Raw genomic sequence first — 27,200 nt, forward strand, 5'->3', positions numbered from 1 at the left:
GTTAATAAGCTTAATTTTTCTACAACATACACATGTATGAGAACGTCATTTTGTACTCCATTAATATACATTTATAACTTGTCAAGAAAAGCTTTATAGATCTACTGCAGAACAGTGTGAATACAGTTAACACTAGTGAACTGTAAACTTAGAAATTAGTAAAATGTTAAATTGTTTCCCACACTTACAAATACTACAAAGAATTTAATTTTTCTTTAATTATTCAGTGAGTGAAAACTTTCCTCAATTGGACTAGAAAGTTGGAATTATTTCTATGAAGTAGTTTTAGGTCCAGTAATGTTTAAATCCTGGTGTGTCCGGAATTGGTGGGTTCCTGGTCTCACTGACTTCAAGAATGAAGCCGCGGACCCTCAGTGTTATAGCTCTTAAGGTGGCGCATCTGGAGTCTGTCCCTTCTGATGTTCAGATGTGTTTGGAGTTTCTTCTTTCTGGTGGGTTTGTGGTCTCGCTGGCTCAGGAGTGAAGCTGCAGACCTCCGCGGTGAGTGTTACAGCTCTTAAGGTAGCGCCTCTGGAGTTGTTCCTTCCTCCCGGTGGGCTCTTGGTCTCGCTGGGCTCAGGAGTGAAGCTGCAGATCTTCGCGGTGAGTGTTACAGCTCATAAATGCAGTGTGGACCCGAAGAGTGAGCAGTAGCAAGCTTTATTGCAAAGAACGAAAAAACAAAGCTTCCACACAGTGGAGAGGGACCCTACCAGGTTGCCAATGCTGGCTCGCCAATGCTGGCTCGGGCAGCCTGCTTTTATTCTCTTATCTGGCCCCACCCGCATCCTGCTGATTGGTAGAGCCGAGTGGCCTGTTTTGTCAGGGTGCTGATTGGTGCGTTTACAATCCTTGAGCTAGAAACAGAGTGCTGATTGGTGTATTTATAATCCCTGAGCTAGATATAAAGGTTCTCCAAGGCCCCACCAGAGCCGCTAGATACAGAGTGTGGATTGGTGCACTCACAAACCTTGAGCTAAACACAGGGTGCTGATTGGTGTGTTTACAAACCTTGAGCTAGATACAGAGTGCCGATTGGTGTATTTACAATCCTTGAGCTAGATATAAAGGTTCTCAACGTCCTCACCAGAGCAGCTAGATACAGAGTGTCGATTGGTGCACTCACAAACCTTGAGCTAAACACAGGGTCCTGATTGGTGTATTTACAATCCCTGAGCTAGATATAAAGACTCTCCACGTCTCCACCAGACTCAGGAGCCCAGCTGGCTTCACCTAGTGGATCCCGCACCGGGGCTGCAGGTGGAGCTGCCTGCCAGTCCCGTGCCGTGCGCTCGCATTGCTCAGCCCTTGGGTGGTCGATGGGACTGGGTGCCGTGGAGCAGGGGGTGGTGCTCGTCCGGGAGGCTCTGGCCGCACAGGAGCTCATGGAGTGGGTGGGAGGCTCAGGCATGGCGGGCTGCAGGTCCCGAGCCCTGCCCCGCGGGAAGGCAGCTAAGGCCCGGTGAGAAATCGAGCGCAGCGCCGGTGGGCTGGCACTGCTGGGGGACCCAGTACACCCTCCGCAGCCACTGGCCCGGGTGCTAAGTTCCCCACTGCCCGGGGCCAGCAGGGCTGGCTGGCTGCTCCGAGTGCGGGGCCCACAAAGTCCATGCCCACCCGGAACTCCAGCTGGCACGCAAGCACCGCACGCAGCCCCGGTTCCCACTCGCGCCTCTCCCTCCACACCTCCCTGCAAGCTGAGGGAGTGGGCTCTGGCCTTGGCCAGCCCAGAAAGGGGCTCCCACAGTGCAGTGGGGGGACTGAAGGGCTCCTCAAATGCCACCAAAGTGGGAGCCCAGGCAGGGGAGGTGCCGAGAGCAAGTGAGGGCTCTGAGGACTGCCAGCGCGCTGTTACCTCTCACTGGCACACAGGATTCTGCAGAGGTAGTTTAAACAGGGTTCAGTACAATGAAACCGTAAGGTGGTCGTGGATAGTTATAGCATGATGGGAGAAAATAATCCTACATGTGCACACCTAGCCATATCAGCTGCCTTTTTTTTCTTGGTTCATTATTTTTTTCATACTCTTTTTTTTAGTTAGCAGCAGGCTTTTGATCACTTTGGCATATTAGATTTGTGGATAGTATTCATTTGAAAATGTATAATGTGGGAAAAAGGTATAAACATGAATACTCTTCAGTATGTTGTTTTATAAATATGAGAATTGAGGCTGCCAGTTAAAGTCACATAGTGGTTGATATTGTAGTAAAGCCACATTCTTTATTTCCCCCAACTTTGGACCTTCTCACCGATTATTTTTATCTGACACTTAGAAGCAAATTACTTTACGTCGACAATATTACACATGTATACCGTGAAAGCTGTCAGATTAAAAATGGAGTCCCTAATGTTAAAAAAAAATTCCTAACAAATGGAGCCAGGAAAGGCCAGGAATATAGGTACTTGTATGCCTGATAGCAAAGAAGACTCTACAAAACTCTACAACCTTGCACAATGTCCATCACAAACTATTAGTCCATTTAAGTGGTCTTATTTAAACTAATTTCAAGCCCGTTTAAACTACTATGCAGAATTCTGGATACCAGGATTTAAAGGTTATTGGACCAAGTGATTGTTAGTATCACTATTAGTCTGTTCTCATATTGCTATAAAGAAATGTCTGAGACTGGGTAATTTATAAAGAACAGAGGTTTAATTGGTTCACAGTTCTCCAGGCTGCACAGGAAGCATGGAAACATGTGCTTCTGGGGAGGCCTCAGGGAGCTTTAACTCATGGCAGAAGGCAAAGCAGATACAAGTGTCTCACATGGCTGGAGCAGGATCCAGAGAGAGAGGGGAAAGTGGCACACACTTTTAAACAACCATATCACAGGAGAGCTCACTATCAGAATGACAGCACCAAAGGGGGATTGTGAGCAACTGCCCCCATGATCCAATCACCCCCAAAAAGGGCCCTTGCTTCAATACTGAAGATTTCAATTCAGTGTGAGATTTGGGTGGGAACACAGATCGGAACCATATCACAAACTTACAAAAAAAATTTCCACAAAAAAATTTCCACAAGACATCTGCCAACAACTGCCTATTCAACCTCAGACTAGCATTATGTTTGTTACTTTTCTTTCTGACTTACCCACACACCTGTGTTACTGATCTTTGTAGCCAGGGATAGTTATTTCATAACAGTTATGTAATCCTCCTCATTTACTACTTTAAAGCTCCTTTGTCTTCCTTTACTGCTCTGAATGTGCACCTAGTTTACTATAGCTTGTGCATTGCTTGCAATTTTCCTTTTCCAAATAAACACCTTTTCTTTTAAAGAGTCTCTGTGTTTGTTTTTTTAGGTTTACACTACAATATGTTGCGTTTTAGATCATTGGTAAATAGTACACAGAAATTCTGCAAAAAAGGAAAAGTTGAATTTGAACTCCTGGCTTCAAGTGATCCGTCTGCCTTGGCCTCCGAAAGTGCTGGGATTACAGTGTGAGCCACTGTGCCAGAGGTGCCTATCTAAATTGCTGCTATTTAACAGCGTACTGGAAATTTAAGGCAGGTCAATTGGCAAGGAAAAAATAACAGGCATCTAAATTGTAAAAGATTAATGAAATCATCTTAATTTGCTAATGACGTAAACCTTTATGTTGAAAACATAAAGATTACACAAAAAAATACACAAACTGTTAGACATTCAGTACATACAAATAAGTCATATTTTCATATATTGGCACTGAATAATCTGAAAAGGAAATTAAGAAAATAATCCTATTTAAAATAGAATCCAAAAGAATAAAATACTTCAGAATATCTTTTTTTTGAAATGGAGTTTTGCTGTTGTTGCCCAGGCTGGCGTGCAATAGCACAATCTTGGCTCACTGCAACCTCTGCCTCCTGGGTTCAAGCAATTCTCCTCCCTCGAGAGAATCTGGGATTAGCTGGGATTATAGGCATGTGCCACCACGACCAGCTAATTTTGTTTTTTAGTAAAGACAGAGTTTCTCCATGTTGGTGACTCCAGTCTCAAGCTCCCGACCTCAGGTCATCTGCCCACCTTGACCTCCCGAAGTGCTGGGATTACAGGTTTAAGCCACTACACCCAGCAAAATAAAAAATATGTAAGCTGGACAAAATTAGAAACTTCTGAATACCTAAAAACACTACCAACAGAGTGAAAAGGCAATCCACAAATAGGGAAAATATCTGTCAATCATATATCTGATAAGAAACTAATATCCAGAATATATAAATAACTCCTACAACTCAACAAGAAAAACCAATTAAAAATAGGCTAAGGGTTTGAATGGACATTTCTCACCAAAGAAGATATACAAATCATCAATAAGCACATGAAAAGATTCTCAACATCATTGTCCATTAGGGAAATGCAGATTAAAGCTACAACGAGATACCATTTCATACAAATTAATACTTACTTTTAAGAGCAAATAAGTGTTGGGAAAAATGTGGAGAAAATGGATATTATGAATTGCTAGTGAAAGTACAAAATGGTGCAGCTGATGTGGAAAATGATTCAGCAATTCCAAGATTACATATATACCCCAAATAATTGAAAGCCTGGCTCACAGATATTTGGACATAAATATTTATGGCAAGAGTATGCACAACTGCAAAAGGTGGAAACAATTCACATTTCCATTAAGAGATGAACGGATAAACAAAATATGAAATATACTTAAAATGGAATGTTATTCAGCCTTAAAATAGAATACAATTCTGACATATGCTACAACTGGACTTACAGTAAAAACAGTGTTAAGTAAAATAAGCCAGACATAAAAGAACAAATACAGCATGATTCTGTCTATATGAAGTCCCTGGAATAGTCAAATTCAGGGAGACAGTATGTAGATGATGGTTGACAGGACTGTGGGGAGGGGAAAATAGGGAGAAGTTGTTTTAATAGGTATAGCATTTCTGTTTTACAAGATAAAGTTCTAGAAACAGGTTACATCAACAATGTGAAGGCATTTAAAAGTACTGAATTGTACACTTAAAAATGATTATCGTGGAAAATTTTATGTTATGAGCAGTTCATCATAATAATAATTTAAAAAGGCCCAATTTTCTTTCTAAGTAGATTAATGATGAAAAATACCAGGCAATGGAATTATTTAGGAGGACTCTGCTGCTATAAGAGTTTCTTGTTACTTTGTTTCTGTTTCCTAGTACTGGCTGTTAGCTTTGAGACTGACTTTTGCACTCCAACAGTTAGAATTAGTCATAATGACTTTCTGGTATCAGCTAGACACTCACCTTTAGCCTCACTTAGGGTTTCCAAGATGAATCTGTCCATAGGTTTAGATTCACTCCCTCTGCTTCCAACTTTGTTCTGCTGGACTCTTCTACTGTGAAGGTAAAGCTTGTTGTTTCTTGCTCATGAAGCAGGAAATATAAGAAAAACAAGTAAAAAGAAAAACAAGTCCTTCCCTGACCAGGCTGACTCACTCCAAAGTCCAGCTACAGCTGTGATAACATTACCTGCAAGGCCAGGTAGGGGCCCTGAAGAAATGGGTTCCAAAAACAGGGACAAGAGAAACAAGTTCTTATCAGTGTCTTCCTGAAATTCTCTACCCATGCCATCATTCTTTGTTCTGCTTGTATAACTATTTTTGTAACTATTTCTGCAAGTTTGCAAGGATTTTGTAAGGTCCTGTTTTTCCCATCTGTGCAGGATGGCAAAGGTCACAAGACATGCCTGAGTTACAAGACCTGTCACAGTTTAACTGCGTTTGTTCTGCTTCTGTAAGCTTGCTTTCCCCACCCCACAAGTTTTGCACCACAGGCCAACACCCTTTGGTCACATGAATAAAAGTCAAGCCCTTTCTTTGCTCATTGCTCAGCCTCTGGGTATTAATCTGCTGAGCTGGTGGCCACCTAAATACAATCGTCCTGTTCCCCTCATTGGTCTCTCCGGTCTCCTGATTCCAGCCACATTTTGGTGAGCCAGCCAGGAGTGAAGACGACAGGTTTGCTGTCTCCTTTGCCTGTGGGTCTGGGGCCCCAGCCTGGGGGAGACCCGTGACTCCAGGCATGCTATCAGGACAACTTCAACCCGAGGGGAGATCAGCTCTCCCGCAACCTGGTGCCGCTCTCTGACAGCACAACAGAACCTAAGGGGCTACAGGATGATTCAAGGAACAGTGTGCTACAGGACCTCGGTAAGGTTTGGGCCCGAGGCAAGACCTGTCCCATGACAGAAGGGGAGCCTCATCACCTCCCAGGGTATACCTAGTAATATGACCCAGGATGCAAGAGTGGCTCGCAAATTTGGAAGAAACCTACACCCCAACCAACCCAGGACACAAAAGTGGCTTGCTAAGTCAGTTAAGAAACGAAACCGGGAGTGGGGAGGTGTGTGAATGTGTGTGAAACAGACGATTCCAAAAGGAACCAACGTGGGGAATGGTGTGTGTGGAGCCACAGGTCTCTTAGCATAGACTGTATGCTAGGGAGGTGCCCCACAGTTTAGTGATTGTGGTGGTCTGGGTTTGGGACTCAAACCCTCCTTTAAAGCTTAGCAGTGTCTGAAATACTCCTGTGAGGGAGACAGTCTAATCGGTCTGAAGTGAAAGTAAAACAGTGAGTGAATTGTGCTGTAAATGGGAGGAAATGGGAGGGAAGTTGTTGAAACCCACCCCATTAGAATGCATGTTAAACAACTTTAAGAAAGATTATGTGGGGGATTATGGGATCAAGTTGACCCCCAGAGGTTGAGAACTGTCTGTGAAATAGAGTGGTCCTCTTTCAGTATTGGATGGCCGGCCGAAGGAACTATAGATGGGGAAATAATTGGCTGTGTATTTAAGGTGGTGACTGAGGTCGGAGGACAGCCTGGACTTCCAGGCCAATTTCCTTATATTGACTCACGGCTGAATATAATTCAAACTCGACCTGTATGGCTAGAGCCCTGCCTGGCAGCTTATTGCAGAACACTGGTAGCTCGAGCTGAGCCAAAAGTGAAAGAGAATTCAGCTTTACTGTCAGCTACAAACAGAAAGGAAAAACCACAAGAAAAACCAGTTTTGCAGGAACCACCAGCGGAAATAGAAACCCCTCTCCCCTATGCACCAATCTATCCACCTTTACCAAGCCTGGCCCAATAGCAGCCAGACTCAGATGATGATACACCTCAGGCTAACCCCAAAGTGTGAAATCTGAGCCCTTGCCCCAGGAGGTCAAGGAGGAAGGTCAAAATGATCAAGCAGGCCGCCTTTAATCTGGCTGCAAGAGCTTTGCAGATGCCTCTCTGAGAAACTTGGGGACCCATGTATTATGATGAACAGGGCCAGGTCCAAGGGTGGGCAACCAACTTTCATTTATCACCCTTTTTCAACTATTGATCTCCTAAACTGGAAACACCATACTCCCTCCTACATGGAGAAGCCCCAAGCTCTCACAAAATCTGATGCAGTCTATTTTTGAGACACACAATCCAACTTGGCCAGACTGCAAACAGCTTTTCCTGATGCTGTTCAACACCAAGGAATGCTGAAGGGTGACCTAGGTAGCCCACCAGTGGCTAGAAAACAATGCACTGGAAGGCACCCTTAATGTCCTGGCATATGCACAGGGCCAGTTCCCAGAAGCAGACCCGCACTGGGACCCAAACAAGGAAGCCCAACTACAGCAACTGCAGAGGTACCAAGAGGCACTCCTGCAAGTTTTGAGAAAAGGAGAGAAAAAGGCATTCAATATGGGAAACATTTCAGAGGTGCTTCAGAGAGCAGATGAAAGCTGTAGCCAGTTTTATGAGAGACTCTATGAGGCCTTCCAGCTTTGCAGTCCATTTGACCCTGAGGCTACTGAGAACCAGTGCATGGTAAACGCAGTGTTTGTAGGGCAAACCCAGGGAGACATCAGGCGAAAGCTGCAAAAGCTAGAGTGTTTCACTGGCATGAATGTCACTCAGGTTTTAGAAGTGGCCACCAAGGTGTACACTAACTGTGAGGAGGAGACTCAGGGAAAAGGCCAATTTGCTGGTGGCAGCACTTATGGAAAGGGGGGCGAATGTCCCAAGACGAAGTGGATGTAGGTGCGGACAAGGAAGAGGTCAAATCAGGCAAAGACCCGAGGATCAGGCAGCACTAGATAGGGACCAGTGTGTGGGGTGCAAGAAGAAAGGACACTGGAAGAATGAATGTCCAGAGGGTGATGAGGGAGAGGTGGAAGTAGGGGCCTAAGGGGCCATAACTTTAAGCCTGCCACCATCCTGAATATATGGTGTTAACTCTTGATGTCCCACAGGTGGAAGAATGGAGGCTGTATGCAGAAGGGTTGTCAAAGCTGGGGCTAGATGAGCTGTATGGGTGCCTAGTAAAATTCGTAGAGTGTGGGCTGAAGATAATGCCCCTACCCTCGCTGTGAACCAGATACAAAAGATAGTAGAACTAAAATCAGGAGAAACACTGGTTCGGTTTCGTTATTACCCACTTCCCTGAGAAGCAATACATGGCATTCAAGGGCATTTGAAGTGGCAATTAGAACACAGGATCTTGGCCCGATGACAGTCACTGTAGAACACTCTCCTTTTGCCAGTGCAGAAACTGGGGACTAATGAATATAGACTGGTGCAGGACCTACCTGTTGCAAACCAAGCCCCTGAGGATTCAGGAAGTGGAAGCTACACATAGCTTACTGGCTGCAAAGCTAAGGAAAAGTGGAGCACATGAACTGGACACTCCAGCAGCTATTAAAGAAATATTGCCAAGAAACACATCTAAGATGGGATCAGATCCTGCCCATGGTCCTCCTCTGAATCAGGTGCACTTGCACCAAACTGGGTATTCGCCCTATGAGATCTTGTTCGGCCGGCCACTCCCAATCATAGGTCAAATTAAGGGTGATCTCTGTGAGCTAGGAGAATTGTCCTTAAGAAGGCAAATGCAGGCCTTAGGGAAAGCCATGCAAGAAGTCCATGGCTGGGTATGGGAAAGAACAGCCATAGGACTAACAAGATCAGGGAGAAGAAAAACAAGTTCTTTTCAATCTCTCCCTGAAATTCTCTCCCCATGCCATCATTCTTTGTTCTGCTTGTATAACTATTTTTGTAACTACTTCTGCAAGTTTGCAAGGATTTTGTAAGGTCCTGTTTTTCCCATCTGTGCAGGATGGCAAAGGTCACAAGACATGCCTGAGTTACAAGACCTGTCACAGTTTGATTAACTGCGTTTGTTCTGCTTCTGTAAGCTTGCTTTCCCCACCCCACAAGTTTTGCACCACAGGCCAACACCCTTTGGTCTCATGAATAAAAGTCAAGCCCTTTCTTTGTTCATTGCTCAGCCTCTGGGTATTAATCTGCTGAGCTGGTGGCCACCTAAATACAATCGTCCTGTTCCCCTCACTGGTCTCTCCAGTGTCCTGATTCCCACAACAGTGTCCTGATTCCCACAACACTGACAATCAAGGCAACATAATGCTGTTGACTGAAGGCATGTCCTAATTATAAACCTTTATTGTCAGGGTATCCAACTATAAACCTTTATTGTCAGAGTATCCAACTGTTAAAAAACTTAAAAAATCCCAGGCAAACCAGGAAGAGCTGGCTTTCCTAGCCAGCTTGCACCATCTTATCCAAGTATCTGTTGCAATATGCTAGGAATTAATGAAAGTTTTTATGAAAATTTCTACATCTCCTTGGCCTGATATAAGATATCCCATTGATCCCTATTTCCCTCTGGATCATGACTTTTCTCTAATTGGCCACTTATTGGGATGGGCAGGTGGTGGCCATTGGTCACTTAGTTTGGCTGCTCAGAATCTAAAATTCCCTATATTTCAGGAATTCCTCAAGTTATATGGCAGAGTGTATCACCTTTCTTTGTAGAACCTCAGCATACTAGGTTCCCTTACAATTGGAGTGGTGGTATCTAACCAGGCTCTGCCAATCAGTGCTTGTACTGGAGGCTGAATTGGAAATAGGGATACAGAGTCTGGAATTTCGAGAAAGTTGTGCTGGTGAGGATGGAGACAGCCAGCAGAGGCCTATCAGAGTTAGAGGGAACAGTGTGCCCAAAAGTTCTAGAGTCAGCATCAGAACTCAGTGTCAGTGTTTGTAACATCGTGTGTCTGTAATGAGAGCAGGGACCACTAAACTAACTCTCTACAATTATTCTGGACATTGTTCCTGGTTACTTCACTTCCAGTCTTCATTCCCTCATCCTTCCAAAAGCTTATATTTTGTTACAGCCCCTCTGCTAAATCAAATAGAGTTGTTTTTTGTTATTTAGAAATGTATTCAATATATCCCCTTGACTAAGATATGGTCTCTACCTGCAACCATGTGACATAGAAAAACTGGGTAATTTAAGAATTTAATAAATGGACTATTTACAAAAATGAGCAGATTTGTGGGAAACTAATGAGATATAATGCAACATCCAATGTTAGGAACATTGGGGAGTACTCATCAGTTCAGACTACGGTGAAAGTGTTGGGAGGCTTTTTTGCTTCATTTCTCAGCATTCCCACATGGTCCACAAACAATCCACCTTGACAGCTAGAGATGAAAGATAGGAAATGCCATTCTCCCCTTAGAAGCATGCCAATATCCTAAAGCCTTCCCCTTTCTGTCACAGGAGACATTGGCTTACTTTCCAGTGTTACCAACCTGGAGACCCTTTCCCCTCAACACTTAAGGAGTTTTGCTAGCATTTCATTGAAAAAGTTCTCCCTCTGGAGGGGAGGATGGGAAGATCATTAGTAGCCTTGATAAAAAAAACCAGTCCCCTAACTGAGGGTTTCTCTCCTGTAATGCAACCCACCACAAGCTAGGTGAATACTTGGGCCTCAGCATGATATGTGTGAATGGAGGTATTTTGTATGAACTTAAGAGATTGCTCAGGCTGCTGCTTTTTGCTGTAAACAGTAAACAATCTTTGTCTTTGACCAGGTCTCTAGTCTCTTTGGTCAGGATATGAATATAATCACCTTATCTGTTGTCAGGAAGGCAAAATCTCTTGTCCTCCACAGTTCCTGACTTCTCAGGATAAGCATAGCCAAGGAAGAAAACTGTACTGACAGGAGCTTACTCCCTTCACAAGAGAGGAGCCAAGGCAATAAATACCACCTGCCTTTTATCACCTTCTAAACTGCCCATTGGCTGACTCCACCTGGAAACCAAAGGGAATGGGAGCACCTTACACAGTCCATAGAGGTCACTTTCTCAGGCACACAGCAAGGTAAAGATAGGAGGAGAATTGATGATGAGGAGCACAGTAAAGGCATTGAGCACAGTGAATAGTTTTATGGTTTGTACATTGCTTCTCTTGAACTGCTGCTCATGTTTCCCTTCATAAATGTGCTGTGTTAAATATTAATGTTTTTGTGTTTGTTGAGATTTTCTTTGCATACTTTACCTGGTCCATTATTTGCCAGTGTTCTATAAATGTATTGACTAATGGTTTACTGATTTGTTTATATGTCTCAAAACAACTATAACAGTGGGTAATGAGAGCAGGGAGGGGGCACTGAGTAAAAGCATGATGGAACCAAAATACTACACAATAACAATATACAGGAGAATTGGCATTGTTATTGCTACAGGATTCTTAGGGTGTCACTTTACCAACCAGAAACCTCTGTGACTGGTGACGCATCTGCTTGGGTTTTTCTTGGGCCTGCTGGGCCCAAGTGAGCTTGTTCCACTCACTTGGTGAAGCAACCAGCCTGGATTCCATGTCTGCCAAGGGCAAGCCAGATGTGCAGCAATGAGAGGTCTGCAAGTGAGGTCTGGCCACTGTGCACTGCCAGGCATGCCAGCTGTGGTGAGGTGGGCAACTCCAAGTGCTAACATAGGTGCTAGCTCTGTGTGAGGCTGCAGCTGGACCAGGCATACTGCAAGTGGCTTCCACTATGGGTACCGGGTAATGCAGTTGTGCCCAGAAGCTTGGAAATGCTAGGAACCATAGAGCCTCAAAGGTGTCACAACCCTGGCTTGGGGAGGCCCTAGGTTTGGGCTCCCTGAAAGTCAACAACTCTTTTCTTCTTCTTGTCACTCACAAGGTGTCAAGTGGAGGGTATGTTTCAGCCTTGTTTGTGTTACAGCTCTTTCAGTCCCACCATTCTGTGGTCCTGAGCTCTGGTCCTGCATCCAGGAAGAATGACGTATGTGGAAAACTGGAGCGTGAGCAAGGCAAAGAGGGGGTTCATTGAGCAACAGAACAGCTCTCAGGAGACCTGCAGTGGGTAGCTCCTTTCTGCAGGCTGGTTGTCCCAATGAGTGTCCACCTTTCAGCAGAAAGGAGACCTGCAGTGGGTAGCTCCTTTCTGCAAGCAGGTTGTCCTGACAAGTCAAGGAGACCTGAATTGGGTCACTGCTTCCCACAGCTGGTAGTCCCACAGTCTGTGTAAGTCTGGCTGTCTGAGGTTTTTATGGACTTCAGAAGGCAGGAAGTGTGTGCTGACTCGTCCAAGGGCAGCCATGTGCAGGCCTGGAAAAAGCACCATAAGTTTTCACTCAGGGCCAAGGACTTCACCTGGAACTGACAGCCTTCAGGATGGCTTGAAGCAGGGCCTCTCCAGGGAACCAACCCTTTATGCCCAGGAGCCATCTGCCTATTGTTGCCATCAACTTGGCATCCATAGTGCCCAGGCTGTTCATGCCAAGCAGTGCTGGCAGGCCTGTGCCAAATGACCCTCAGCACCCCCTCAGCTCCACTCCTGTGGTCATGGGCGCCCAAAGTCTGGAGGGGGATGAGGCGGCAGGGGGCTGGTGTGTCAGCACCACCCTGAGCACGTGCAACCTCCTGGCTGGGTTGTGATAGCACCTGGGCTTGGCCACAATGTTGCTCCACACTCGGAGCAACCAGGAGTTGAGAAAGGCCAGGCAGTGGCACCAAGCTCTTTCAAGCCTGCAGAGGCAAGGGGGCTTCCTGGGCTTCAAAAAGCACAGGGATACCAAGTCTGCAGCCACTGCTGGGCAGCTGCAGCTAAGCATGGGACTCCTGCCCCACCAACTTGGAAGGGGACAGGGCTCCTGCCTGTTCCCAGCTCCTGACGGCTCCTGAACATGCAGCCCTGGCCACGCCTCCCCTGCTGCAGCGTCCCCACAGTGGCTGCTCCAAACAGGTTGCCACCATCATTATAAGTCAGAATGCTCTTGGCTGCAAGTATTACGGATCATAACTTGGCTGGGTGTGGTGCCTCATATCTATAATCTGCTTTGGGAGGCCAATGCAAGAGGATTGCTTGAGGACAGGAGCTTGAAACCAGCCTGGGCAACATATAATAGTAATACCCTGAGTCTATACACATATGAAAAATAAAAGCACACTCACACACTCAAAATGGAAGACATGGCTCAACAGACCAAACAATAAGAAAACTTTTAATAGGAACTCCAGATGTAGTTATCTTCAAGGTTAGTTGCATATTTGATGTTTGTTGAATCAACATATTGGGAACAATACATTTATAGCAGTTCCACATGTCTCATCCAAATTTGGCAATTGGGAGAAAAAAGATAAATAACATTTTCCTATGGCTTTCTCTTAAAGAAGAAGAAACTTTTTCTCACAGTCCTTCTGTAAGGCTGCTTATCGTGTATCAATGGCTAGTGTTGGATCACACAGCTTTTCCTGGAAATACTGTTAACATAACTAACCATTACCAACCCCAACAAGTTAATGACATTATGCATAACTAGGTTGACTCCCATAACAAGAGATGGAGTTAGCTTTTCCTTCAGAAAAGCAAAGCAAAACAAAATATACACACATGATATGCAGTGAAGGTGTTGGTACTTCAACAAATTTAAAGTATCTTTGGTACAAGGGATAAGTATGTAGTGGGTAGGCAACCACTATCCTTCACTGCAGAGATTACAAGACTAAAACAGTGCTAAAGTATTATAATGAAAAAGGTTTGATTGCTTTTTTGTGTTTAAATTACATATAGGTGTTAAAGTATTAAGGGTAATCACCACAGGAATAGAGAGAAAATGCAAAATGTTCAAACAAGTAGAAGGGAAATATGGTACCAAAAAAACCCAAAACAAAATAAATGAACTTTCAAAACAAATTAAATAGCTGTTAGTAAAGCTGTCATAAAGGAAGTAAAGAAATAGCCTGATGAAAAGAAAATATGAAATAAAATATATAACATATTTTAATTATTTTAGCCAAATATTTTAATAATTGCAATGAATATAAGTAGACTACCTATTAAAGGCCAAAAATTATAAAATTAGATAAAATTCTAGCTATTCAATATTGGCAAGAAAAATACATAAATTAATGATACAAAAAAGCAGAAAGTAAAAAGATAGAAAATATACAGTAAAAATATATTGGGCAGCCACTGCCAAAATATTTTTAATGAAAGACTTTAATGCAAAATAATTATTATATAATGACTAAAACAACAACTTCCAGTGTCATAAATGGTAGCATGCTTACATACATAGCTGTACTTTGATTTGTCATAGTAAATGTTTTAGATGTTCAGTGTCATTATTGATTAGGAAAATAAAATTGTCTTATAAGTATTACAGTATTTTTTCAGTTTGTTTGTATGAACGTGGATCCAAATATGACTGGCACTATGTATGTTATATTTCTTAAGTTGCTCCTTCATCTTGTTTCTTCCTCACCTCTCTCCTGCTCCTTCCTCCTAGCTGGAGTTTATATGTTGAAGAAACAAAATAACTTGATGGGTATACTTTCCACAGTCTGGATTCTACCGATTTTATCCCCAATGTGATGTTGAACTTGTTTCTCTGGTATTGGTATTTCCCAACAGCTATAATATAATCTGAAGGCTTTGATCAGATTCAGATTTGACATCATGGCAAACACTATATCTTAAGTGGTAACATGCTTTTTTATGGAGGCACATTATATACCTAGCCATCTTGCTTGTGATTGTGGCAACTATTTGATGCTCAAAGCTAAGATTCAGTCAATTCTTCAAGGCTTGAAAATAGCGATATAGAATTTTATGATTCTTTATGATTTGCAATTCTTAATATTTTTTGAATGAGGATTCTTGAATTCTCATTTTGTCATGGGCCCCAAAAATTAAGTAGCTGGTCCTGGGTATGGACATCATGTAGGAGATATGCGGAAAACAAAGACAGAAATCTAGATTTGTTTACAGTGTGGTTGGCCTAATGTTGGTTCCCACCAAAGGAATACAAACTAATATGAAAATTTCAGAACATTTCCTCTAGTTTCTTCCTCTACATATCTGGATTTGTTATATTGTTAAGTTTTTACTAGACGTTTTCCTATCACCTTAACAGTGTTTTTAAAAATCTTCATGTTAGTTTCCTGATATAAAATCCTTAAGTCAAGGATATTTATTAGTTTAGTATTTTATGGCTGCAACAAAATACCAGACACTCCCACAAGTCACCCGGTCACCCAGGAGTGCCTTTCGGTGGGAGGAGCAAATGCCTTTTCTTGTCAGATAAAAAACTCAGTCTCTCATTTATCTATGAAAACAGCAGTTCAGTTCGTCACACAAATGCACACAGAAAAACCAAATCAAGATAAATTTTAGGAGAAAAAGCAATAGAGAATTCCCTTTAGAATGCATCTCTGAACTGGAATTAGGATCCTTAGACAACAACTTCCTAGCAGAAAATCAGCTCAGAATAAATCAAGCACCATCAACTAAAGGGAGGTGGGACTCAGGAGACTTAACAGTTCCACCAAAGGACAACTGGAAATCAGGTAGTTTTCAGTGGGCCCCGCTAGTACCTTAGCTCCAAGTTCAGATAACTCCTTCTGGGCCCTGAGTCTTCTCTGGGGCTCCTGTATTTAAGCACCAAATTATTGTTGATGAAAAGAGTTAAACTGTGTAAAATATTTCAAGACATTTATTTTGAGCGAAATGTGAGTGACCATAACCTGTCACACAGCCCTCAAGAGGTTCTGAGAACATGTGCCCAAGGTGAGCAGGGTACAGTCTGGTTTTATATATTTAGAAGAGGCATGAGATATCAATCAAATACATTTAAGAAATGCATTGGTTTAGTTAAGAAAGGCAGGACAACTGAGAGCAGGGGGGTTATAGGTAAATTTAAACGTTTTCTGGTTGACAATTGGTTATGTTTGTCTAAAGACCTGGTAGAAAGGAATGCTCAGGTTAAAATAAAGGATTGTGGAGACCAGGTTTTAGTGTACAGAGGAAGCTCTCAGATAGCAGACTTCAGAGACAGCAGGTTGTAAAGTGTTTGTTATCAGATTTAAAAGAATGCCTGGCTCTTAGTTGATTCTCTCCTGGATCTGGAAAGGAAGGAAGAAGAAAAAAGGTGAAAGTGGATTCTCTATAGAATGTGGATTTTTCCCACAAGAGACTTTTGCAGGGAAATTTCAAGGTATGGCTTGGGAGGCCAAAGTGTGCAGATCATGAGGTCAGGAGATTGAGATCATCCTGGCTAACACAGTGAAACCCCCATCTCTACTAAAAATACAAAAAATTAGCTGGGCATAGTGGCGCCTCTGTAGTCCCAGCTCTTTGTGTGGCTGTGGCAGGAGAATTGCTTGATCCTGGGAAGTGGAGGTTGCACTGAGCCAAGATGGTGCCATTGCACTCCAGTTTGGGCAACAGAGCTAGATTCCATCTAAAAAAAGAAAAAAGTATGGCAAGCAAATATATTCTGGGATAAAATATTTTGATTTTCTTCCTTGTTATGCCAGAATCACATTGGAGAGTAAGTCACTGTATAGTTTTAAATAAAAGGCATCTGATGATAATTTATGGTTTGTAGGGCATGACTCCTTAGACCCATTGGATAGGAATTTAGGCAAGATAAAAAAAATTAGAGCTTAGTTCTTACTTAGAAGACAAAAGGAGGCATAGTCTGGGCTGGATTGTCTCTGAGTCGTGCAAGGAACAGTCTTTGAGGTAGTAGAGTCTTCAGCAGCATATGCCAGGTTCTTATAATGAGTGACTGCAGGATGGTGTCAGCTACGACAGCTGTTTTAAGCTGCTGAAGTTCTGCTCTTTTATAGTCACAGCGTCCTCTGTGGAGGACTGACAGTGGAAGAGTGTGCTTGTTTATGTCCCCACATCTGGATGGATGCAAACCTAAACAAAAAAAACCCTTTGTTTATTAAACAAAACATCTTTGTTGAGAGAGTACCATATGAAATAGAAAATAAAGTCTTTTTTAAAAGGTGGAGTAAGTTATGTCAAGGGTGCTATACACAACCATGTAACTTAGATTCCCACAGTTTTCACACTAGAAGAGCTAGAATAATTTTGTTCAAATTTCTCTTTTTGCATTTGACTGCCAGGCCAAGAGATGTGTTGAACGGGCATTTTAATAGGCAAGAACTTCAGCTGAATTTTCTGACCACTGATCCAGTGCTTTTTCCAGAATGCTACTCATCTGCCAAAACTGTATCCATTTTTCCTATTTTTTTTTCTTGAGAGGCAGTCTCGCTCTGTTGCCCAGGCTGGAGTGCAGTGGCGCAATCTCGGCTCATTGACAGCTCTGCCTCCAGGGTTCACACCATTCTCCTGCCTCAGCCTCCCAAATAGCTGGGACTACAGGTGCCTGCCACCATACCCGGCTAATTTTTTTGTGTTTTTAGTAGAGATGGGGTTTCACCGTGTTAGCCAGGTTGGTCTTGATCTCCTGAACTCATGATCCGCCCACCTCAGCCTCCCAAAGTGCTGGGATTACAGGCGTGAGCCACTGTTCCCGGCCAAAGCTATCTATTTTTAAGCACCTTGCCTCTGTTCATTTGCTTATTCATTCCTCCATTCATTCATTTGTTCATTCATTCAATACCTATTAGTTTGTTGACGTTTTCTGGGTCTGGTAGTTTAGAGAATGCTTGCTTTCCTCAGCTAAAAGTTTTTTCTTTTTTTTTTTTCCTCATTTTTCTCTTTTAGTCAGAAGATTTTTTCCTTGAAAGCATCGATGGTAAACATCTGCACGTCAGAGAGTTTCTCAATAAGACTTGTAATCCAAAAACAATCTGAGAAACGTCTTAATTAATTTAGAAGTTTATTTTGCCAAGGTTAAGGACATGCCTGTGACACCACCTTCAAATGTCCTGACAACATGTGCCAAAGGTAGTTGAGATACAATTTGCTTTTATCCATTTAGGAAGAAATGAGACATTAATCAATACATGTAATATATATAGTGGTTTGGTTCAGAAAAGTAGGACCATTAGAAATCTGGGTTCCAGATTTTAAGTGGATTGAAAGATTTTCTTATTGTCAGTCATTTGAGTAAATATCTGCAATCAACAGAAAGAAATGTCTGGGCGATAATAAGGGATTGTGGATACCAAGGTTTGTCATGCAAATAGCCTCCAGGTATCAGAGAGGCTTCAGAGAAAATAGATTGTAAATGTTTCCTGTCAAACTTAAAAGATCTGTTCTATCAGTACCAAGGTCTGTGTTGATGTTAATGGTAATGAGGCATGTGTGACTCCGCCTTCTCATTATGGCCTGAACTAGTTTTTCAGGTTATCTTTGGAATGTTTTTGGCTGAGAGGACGTGTATATTCAGATGGTTTGAGGCTTTATATTTTATTTTGTCTTACAAGCTCATTTCTGGATAGTCCTGTGCCATGTGTAGGTAGTGGTGCATGTGTGTGTGGGGGACAGGGGGCTGTTACTAGAGGGTCAAAGAGAAGTTGTCTCAGTGAGGAATTTTAAGACCACCAAAAAGCCAATTGGGATGATGATGTTACAAATTGGTTAAATGAAACCCTGTCAAGTCATTGATTTACATACCTGCTGTCACTTTTTAATCATTTGTAGCTTTAGTAGTTGTACATTACTTAGAATTTTAACTACTACTATCCTTAACCCATAGAGAAAACCTAAGAAACACAGTTTTTAACTATGTGAACCCTGAATATCTGAGACAGGGCTCAGTTAATTTGGAAAACTTATTTTGCCAAGATTGTTCTGTTCCATTGGTCTATGTATCTGTTTTGGTACCAGTACCATGATGTTTTGCTTACTGTAGCCTTGTAGTATAGTTTGAAGTCAGGTAGTGTGATGCCTCTAGCTTTGTTCTTTTTGGTTAGGATTGTCTTGGCCATGTAGGCTCTTTTTTGGTTCCATATAAAATTTAAAGTAGTTTTTTCTAATTCTGTGAAGAAAGTCAATGGTAGTTTGATGACAGCATTGAATCTATAAATAACTTTGGGCAGTAGGACCATTTTCTGCATCTATTGAGATAATCATGTGTTTTCTGTCATTGGTTCTGTTTATGTGACAGATTACATTTATTGATTTGCATATGTTGAACCAGCCTTGCATCCCAGGGATGAAGCTGACTTGATTGTGGTGCATAAACTTTTTCATGTGCTGCTGAATTTGGTTTGCCAGTATTTTATTGAGAATTTTCACATCAATGTTCATCATTCCTTGGTCATAGATATTGGCCTGAAATTTTCCTTTTTTGTTGTGTCTCTGCCAGATTTTGGCATCAGGATGATGCTGGCCTCATAAATAATTTTTCCATTGTTTGTGTCCTCTCATTTTCTTGAGCAGTGGTTTGTAGTTTTCCCTGAAGAGATTCTTCACATCCCTTATAAGTTGAATTCCCAGGTATTTTATTCCCTTTGCAGCCATTGTGAATGGGAGTTCACTCATGATTTTGTTCTCTGTTTGTCTATTATTGGTGTATAGGATTGGTTGTGATTTTTGCACTTTGGTTTTGTATTCTGAGACTTTGCTGAGGTTGCTTATCAGGTTAAAGAGATTTTGGGCTGAGATGATGGAGTTTCTAAATATACAGTATGTCATCTGCAAACAGACACAATTTGACTTCCTCTTTTCCTAGCTGAGTACACTTTCTTTCTTTCTCTCGCCTGACTGCCCTGGCCAGAACTTCCAATACTATGTTGAAGAGGAGTGGTGAGAGAAGGCCTCCTTGTCTTGTGCCAGTTTTCAAAGGGAATGCTTCCAGTTTTTGCCCATTCATGGCTATGGATATGTGATAAATAGCTCTTATTATTTTGAGATACATTCCATCAATACCTAGTTTTTTGAGAGTTTTTTTTTTTTTAGCATGAAGGAGATTGTGTTTTTCAAAAGGTCAATGAAGTGTTATATTATCCTTGGCAAAAATTTTGTCAATAAGAGGAGAAACAGAGGGAACACATATAGTTGGCAGGGATTTTAAGAACAGAGAAATTCAGTAGATGGAGTAGCTATTATTGAGAGAATAGAGGCCTCACACAAATAAACATATATAGCCTAAATATTAACTTTTTGTTCATTTGTTTTTGAGGTGGAGTTTTACTCCATCGCCCAGGCTGGAGCGCAGTGGTGTGATCTTGTCTCACTGTAGCCTTGCCTCTTGGGCTCAAGCGATTATCCTGCCTCAGCCTCCTGAGTAGCTGGGATGAGTACAGGGATGAGCCATCATGCTCAACTAATTTTTGTATTTTTTACTAGAGGTGGGGTTTTGCCATTTTTGTCAGGCTGATCTTCAACTTTTAATCTCAAGGGATCTACCTGCCTTGGCCTCCCAAAGTGCTGGGTTATAGACATGAGCCACCAAACTGGGCCTAACTATCAATTTTTAAGTTGACTTTTGACTATAGAGCTCTTTTTTTGTCTGTTTTGAGATGAAGTCTTACTCTTGTCACCCAGGCTGGAGGGCAACGGTGCAATCTCGGCTCACTGCAATCTCTGTGTCCCAGGTTCAACCCATTCTCCTGCCTCAGCCTCCCGAGTAGCTAGGATTACAGGTGCCCACCAGCAAACCTGGCTAATTTTCATAGTTTTAGTAGAGACGGTTTTTCACCATGTTGGCCAGGCTGGTCTAAAACTCCTGACCTCAGGTAATCCTCCTGGAACTTTCCAAGTGCTGGGATTACAGGCGTGAGCCACTGCGCCCAGCATTTTTTTTTCTTTTTAAATAGACTTCATGAAAAGTCTTTTTATCAGATTTTCGTTGAGCAAGTACCAAACATTCCTATTTGTTGGCTTTTTGTTTCTCAAGTTTACAGCAAGAAAGATTTTGGAGATGGAGCCAAATTTGTTTGTTACAGGTCTAGGATGATTACTTTTAAAAGGTGCTGGTAGTTGAAATGTTTTAATGAAATATTTTCTTCTTTCTGGGTATATGTTTCCAAATAACTTACAAGAAACGGTGTAAACAAATAACAATAAAAGTTTCCTATTACATTCTAAATATAAAGGAGAATTTTAAATCAAAGATATTAATGAAAAAAATGACTCAAAAGCAACACGAATAAACATACATGAGGCCAAAACCCAAAAGCCCTTTATAGCATCAAAGAGGAAGCAAAAATTTTGCAGCCTTTCCAAGATCTATACCCCTACCACAGACTACTTAAAGGAAACTTTCACTAGCTGCCAATAGTTGAAACCCACAACTATCTGGCAATTTTCTTGCAGGGTTTCAGCTTCTAAGCTGATCATGTACATACAAATGCCCAGCATTTCTGGTGCCATACAGATGGAAGGTTAAAAGAGACAGTAGGTAAAATGAAAAGAAAAGGTGTTCATGTAGATGGCAAGCATAACACACGATACCCCCTCAAAATCAAGAGTTACATAAATAATCCAAAATAAATAGTTCAAATCAGAATAAGTAGTTCTAACAGAAATGTTTTGCTCCTAAGCTAGCAGTATGCACTGGGGAAAGGAATTTTGTGGTTGATCTAAAGAACTTTAACTCTGCCTCAAACCGGATCTTAGCTGAAATGTTGCTTGGCTGCTTGGATATAACATTTGGATATATCTCTGGATATAACATCTCCCAGACATAAGATTTACATCTCCAAGGAACTGCAAAAGGTCAGGGGAAAGGGTGGAGTGCCTTTTATAAATCCTGTAGGGAAGTTAAGCATGCAGTTTGAACATAAAAATGTTCTGGAGGACTTAAATGGGAAGTTTCTAAAAACAAAATAAAACTTATAGCCTATATAGTGACAAGACAAAGAAAAGACCACCTTTAGGCTCCAAAAGGCCTGAAAATGTGGAAAGATAAGTTTATGGGAAGAGTAAATCTGTCCCTCTATCCTCGATGCTTTTGTCTCTGAGCTGACAAGGAACATTAAGAGGCCTATCTTTAGATGGGAAAGGCAGCCAAGAGGACAGTAAGACCTTGTCTTTGTAAATTGCTGTCCTACTATCAGGTAGGCAGAGTGAGTGGAAGAATATCCTCCTACATATTTTTTGAGACGGAGTCTCGCTGTGTCTGTCTCCCAGGCTGGAGTGCAGTGGCGCCATCTCGGCTCACTGCAAGCTTCGCCTCCCGGGTTCACGCCATTCTCCTGCCTCAGCCTCCCGAGTAGCTGGGATCACAGGTGCCCCCAACCACGCCCTAAAAAATTAGCCATTTTTTGTGTTTTTAGGAGATCTTCCTACTTTTTAACCTCCTCCAGCTCTGCACTCTTTAGGATTTTGATAAAGCTCCGATGAGTGGAGGAACACCAGGGTTCTTGCCTTGCTTAGAATTAGGTAAGACAACACGGACACATGTGGACAGATTTTAAGGAGTAGGGAGTTTAACAGGGAAGAAAGAAGGGGGAAGAAAAAAAGAAGCAGCTCCCTTGTAGAGAGAGAGAGGTAGGAGGATCCAAAGCTGAGAGAGGAAACCCCGCTTTCAGGTAATGTTAGCCAGCTAAATTAGATGGCTGGAGGAGGCGGTGTCTGATTCGCACAAGGCTCAGGGTATTGGTTTGACCAGGCATGTCTTTCACGTAGCCCGAGAGAAAACTGGCCACCCTAGCCTTTTAAATATGCAAATGCAGAGTGCCCTCGTGTTCCAAACACCTGGAGATATGTGGGGGTGGCTATGCTGCCAGGCACGTGTTGGGGAAAGAGCAAGAGGACAAAGGTGGGAATCGCCATGTTGAGTGAACCCAGTTTCTAACGCTGGCATTTGCATATTAAAGGTTGACAGCCTAGGTCTAAGACCCAGGGTTTTCATGCTAGACAAGAGCTGCGAAAAATCTTCCAAGGACCCCGTTTTTTCCTCTCTGCCTAAAATAATTTCTTAATAACTCTTACCACAATTTTAGACGGAACATTTTTGTTTTCTTCACAGGCATCTTCCTAAATTAAGGGTAATGTAAATTTGAACTCAGCCCTGCTCAGTTGTTGTCATTAATTTTTTCACTTAGGCTTGGTATAGATATACAGATTTTCTCATTAATTTGGTTTGTTGGAAGGCAGATTTTTTTTTTTTACCACAGGCCATCATTTTGTAGAAAATGTTGCTCCTAACTATAAGGAGCACTGGTTCCAGGTGTTAGGTTCAGTCCTTTCCCATTGCAAAAAATCAAGGCCAACTCTCTCATTTATTTTTTTTTCTGGTTTTAAAACAAACTTTTTCCAATCACGCATGCAAATAAATTACTTTGAGCATTTCAAAAGACCTTCATTTAGGCTGTAGCTGCTTATGACCATCCCAGGTTACGTGGGCTTATTTTTCCAGATATTATTGATGACACCCCGTTTTTGTTGTACATAAAACCAGCTGCTTTTATAAAAGAAGATTGCCCATCAAAAGAATACACAGATCTGGCCGAGTGCAGTGGCTCATGCCTGTATCCCAGCACTTTGGGAGGCCAAGGAGGGCGGATCACAAGGTGAGGAGATTGAGACCATCCTGGCTAACACAGTGAAACCCCATCTCAACTAAAGATACAAAAAAAAAAAAAAAATTAGCCGGGTGTGGTGGCGGGCGCCTGTAGTCCCAGCTACTGGGGAGGCTGAGGCACGAGAATGGCGTGAACCCAGGAGGCGGAGCTTGCAGTAATTGGAGATCGCGCCACTGCACTCCAGCCTGGGTGACAGAGCGAGACTCCGTCTCAAAAAAAAAAAAAAAAAAAAAAAAAAAAAAAAGAATGCACAGAGCTTGATTTCCCATAATTTAGGAACCTTTTGAAAGTGACCTAGGGCAGAAATGTGTTTGGGGTTGAACTGTGCTGCTTATGCAAGTCACTCAGCCAAGGTGTTACCCAAGAGTCATTAATTTGTCTTATACATCTTGGAATTTCTCATCCCCTTGCAGTGGCTGAGTTGCTAAGTTGCCAGGTGACCAATCCTAATATACACCTTCTGGCTATGCTGAAACTCTCTGAAAGTCCTTTTTTTGCAAGGTCTCTGAGACTGCTACATATCATGGACAGCTGTCCAAACACCTCTGTAATACGTCTAGTCACTTAGAGCACCCAGTTGGATTTGGAGGGAGCAAGTGTCTCTTAACTCTGGAGTGAGAGAACTCATCTTCATGTACCTTTTGATTTGAAACTATCAGTAATTGGTTACAGATGAAAATGCAAGTCCACATTACAAACAGTAGGTCGCAGCTGCAATTTTAAATACACACAATGTAATTCTGGGCCAAAAGAAGTGAAACCATTGGTGGTACACTGCCAATAGCCTGACACAGATTTCTTCCTGAAGACAATGGCAGAGAAGGCAGTTCTCTGTAGAGTTGTTTTCCTGCTGTGACCTGCGCTTCTGTTCTTGAGGCAGAGAAGGCTGTTTTGATTTCTGTTTTTGTTTTTTTCTCCTGAAACTTGAAACTCCTACCCATGGCCAGAGATAGGCTAGATGAATTCTGCAAAGGGAGAGTTGGAAAGAACAGCTCAAACAGTTTGATCTCAACCAAGGGGTACAGAGATTTGAATTGTGGAGGACTAACCCCTTACATTAGCAGAAGAATGTAAGGTCTTCTGCCTGCCTAGATGTTGGGTCCACAGTGCTGACTCCTGGATGAGTGTTGGATGGTCAGAGGAGTGGACTCTGAACCCTGCTTACTGTACTCTAAATATCAAACTAAAGGAAAAAGCTGAGGGATGAAACATACTTTGAAAATGTCTATTTGATACAAGATGTGGAAAAGTTGCTGGAAAACACAGAACCTAGTAAACTTAGATAGGAGCACCAAAGTTTTGTTAACATGGGTATGTGATAAACAAATTCGTAAAGGCAAAAAGTGGACAGCAAGTGGCCTATAACAAAGTTGTTTGTTATGAATTGTCATTGGATTACAGAAATAGCATTGATTAGCAATTGGCTACATATTGTTAAGCTGTAGTTCGTTGGTTGTAGTGTCCAATATGTGGCATTGGTTGATGGTTTTTTAGCTAACGTGTGGCCATAATACTTGTAGCATCTATACAGCAAGCAGCTTCAAGAGATGACTACTTATCTTAAGGTGGGAAGTGGGATGTGGGTGCTACCTATGGGAGGCTTGCATTCCTTAGATAAAAGTTTATTTTCTTAGTTTGTTGCATAGCTTCTCAGTCTAAGGTGGTCTTCCAGAGTTTGGGACTCCAGTGTTAGACAGCCCCTGCCATGGGTCTTACCCTGTGCTTGTTTCCTCTCCATGAGGCCTTACCATGCTGTTTTTGCCTGTGGGTTTCTCCCTATTAGCGTTCATTGACTCTGTGATTGAGGTGTTCAAATGCTAGGTGCTCTAAGCACTTATGTAGATGTTTCATTGAGAGCCTACAAAGGCTGCATTAGCTGTACAGTATCATATGATGAAACTGACGCCAAGGGAGGTTGACTTAGTAGCCTCATTTCCCATAGCCAATGAGGGACAGCATGTCTTTGACTCCAATGTTGAGCACTGGTCCCTGCCTGTTCTAGATTCTCCATTGGCTTGGTTTTCCAAATTGCTTACACTCTGCTTGACTCTTTCAGAGACACTAATGTGTCATACATTTGGTCTCTTTACATAATCCCATATTTCTTAGAGGTTTCATTAATTTCTTTCTTTCTTTTTTTTCTCTGTTATTCTCTGAATGTCTTATTTCAGAAAAATACACTTCAAGCACTGAGAGTCTTTTCTCATCTTGGCCAGTTCTGCTGTTAATACGTGCAGTTGAATGATGAAATTCTTGTAAAGGTTTTTCAGCCCTATCAGGCTGGTTACGTTTTTTTCTATGCTAAGTATTTTGTCTGTCAGCTCCTGTTATCATTTATTTGTGGTTCTTAGCTTCCTTTAATTGGGTTATGCATAGTCCTGCATCTCAATGATTTTGGTCTCTGTCTCTATTAGGAATTCTGTTCCTGTCATTTTAGTTATCTCCGCCTGGTTCAGATCCCTTGCTGGTTCCCAGCTTCCTCCCCACTTCAGCTCAGCTTCTGTGTTTTCCCTCCATGCACTCTCAGTGCCTCCCTCTGAAGACCTGGTAGGAGTATGCCAGGCATCCTGGTACCAGACCAAACTAAGTGTTGGGCTGCTTATTCTCACAGCCCAATAAAGAGACACAAATGAACTGAGAAAGGAGGGAGTTCATTTCTGTAATTGGGTACAGAGAGGAGGCCTGGAAAATATTGCCAGACCAACTCAAAATTAAGTTTTCCAGAGCTTATATACCTTCTCAGGTATATGTGTTTGTGTAAGTGTGCATTCATCTAAAGATATAAGTGATTAATTTCTTCTAATCTGTAACTAAAGTCCAAACTTTGAAGACCCTTCTCAGGAGCTTCAGTAAATTTATTCAATCTAGATGGATCCGGGTGCTGAGGTGATTACCCTTATCTTGTCTCCCGCTAAATCATGGCGGCTTGGGGAGTTCTTTCAGATCTCCAATAAAACTTGTTTACGGAGGGCTAGGGAGTTTCTTCACACCAACAGTAAAACGTGTTTAATTCTAAACTCGTCCCATTAAGAATTCCTTTGTTATCTTATCATGCTTCAAGGCCTAGGAAAAGCCTGGGCAAAACTCTTAGTGGGCTTTTGTTACATTCTAGGCTTTGGATAAGAGCACTTGCTCTTATTATTTAGCTTAACCACTCAGTGCTGAAACAGTTGTTACAGGGGCCTGTCTGTTCAGCTGTTAGTGACCTACTCTGCAACAATCCTGGTCCCTCAGTGGCAGCTGTTTCACTTGACTGCCTCTGTTTGTCCATCTTGCTTGAATCTTGCAGTAACTTTTGAAATCTAGAATTGTGAGTCTTCTTACTTCCCCCTCCTGTAGTGTTACATGTAATTTCACATCAATTATAAAATCAGATTACCAATTTATTGAAAGTAACTCTTGAAGTCTAGAATTGTGAGTCTGTTAATAATGTTTGGTAATTTTCATACATTTTAAAACTTACAGTACAATGTTAAATAGAAGCTGTGTAAGCAGTATTCTTGTCTTGTTCTTTATCTTTTGGAAATGTATGCAGGCTTTCACTGTTAAGTGTGATGTTACTTGTGGGTTTTTGCAGATGTCTTTTATCAGTTTGAAGAAGTTTACTTCCATTCATATTTTTATCACAAATATTATTGGACTTTATCAGATCTTTTTCTCTCC

General features: G+C 42.1%; 2 long non-coding RNA genes across 2 annotated transcripts in view; one reads left to right on the plus strand and one right to left on the minus strand.

Annotated features, from left to right (window-relative positions):
* The window catches only part of ZFY-AS1 (ZFY antisense RNA 1), a 35,808-nt gene extending 30,262 nt beyond the window's left edge, over nt 1-5,546 (minus strand). The window contains exon 1 of the long non-coding RNA NR_144458.1: nt 5,233-5,546. This is a non-coding gene — a long non-coding RNA (ZFY antisense RNA 1). The remainder of the gene's footprint in view (nt 1-5,232) is intronic.
* Nucleotides 5,547-5,915: 369 nt separating this feature from the next.
* Nucleotides 5,916-27,200, plus strand: part of LINC00278 (long intergenic non-protein coding RNA 278) — a 99,277-nt gene continuing 77,992 nt past the window's right edge. The window contains exon 1 of the long non-coding RNA NR_046502.1: nt 5,916-6,137. This is a non-coding gene — a long non-coding RNA (long intergenic non-protein coding RNA 278). The remainder of the gene's footprint in view (nt 6,138-27,200) is intronic.

This window comes from Homo sapiens, chromosome Y (assembly GCF_000001405.40).
Source record: "Homo sapiens chromosome Y, GRCh38.p14 Primary Assembly".
NCBI classification, from domain to species: Eukaryota; Metazoa; Chordata; class Mammalia; order Primates; family Hominidae; genus Homo; species Homo sapiens.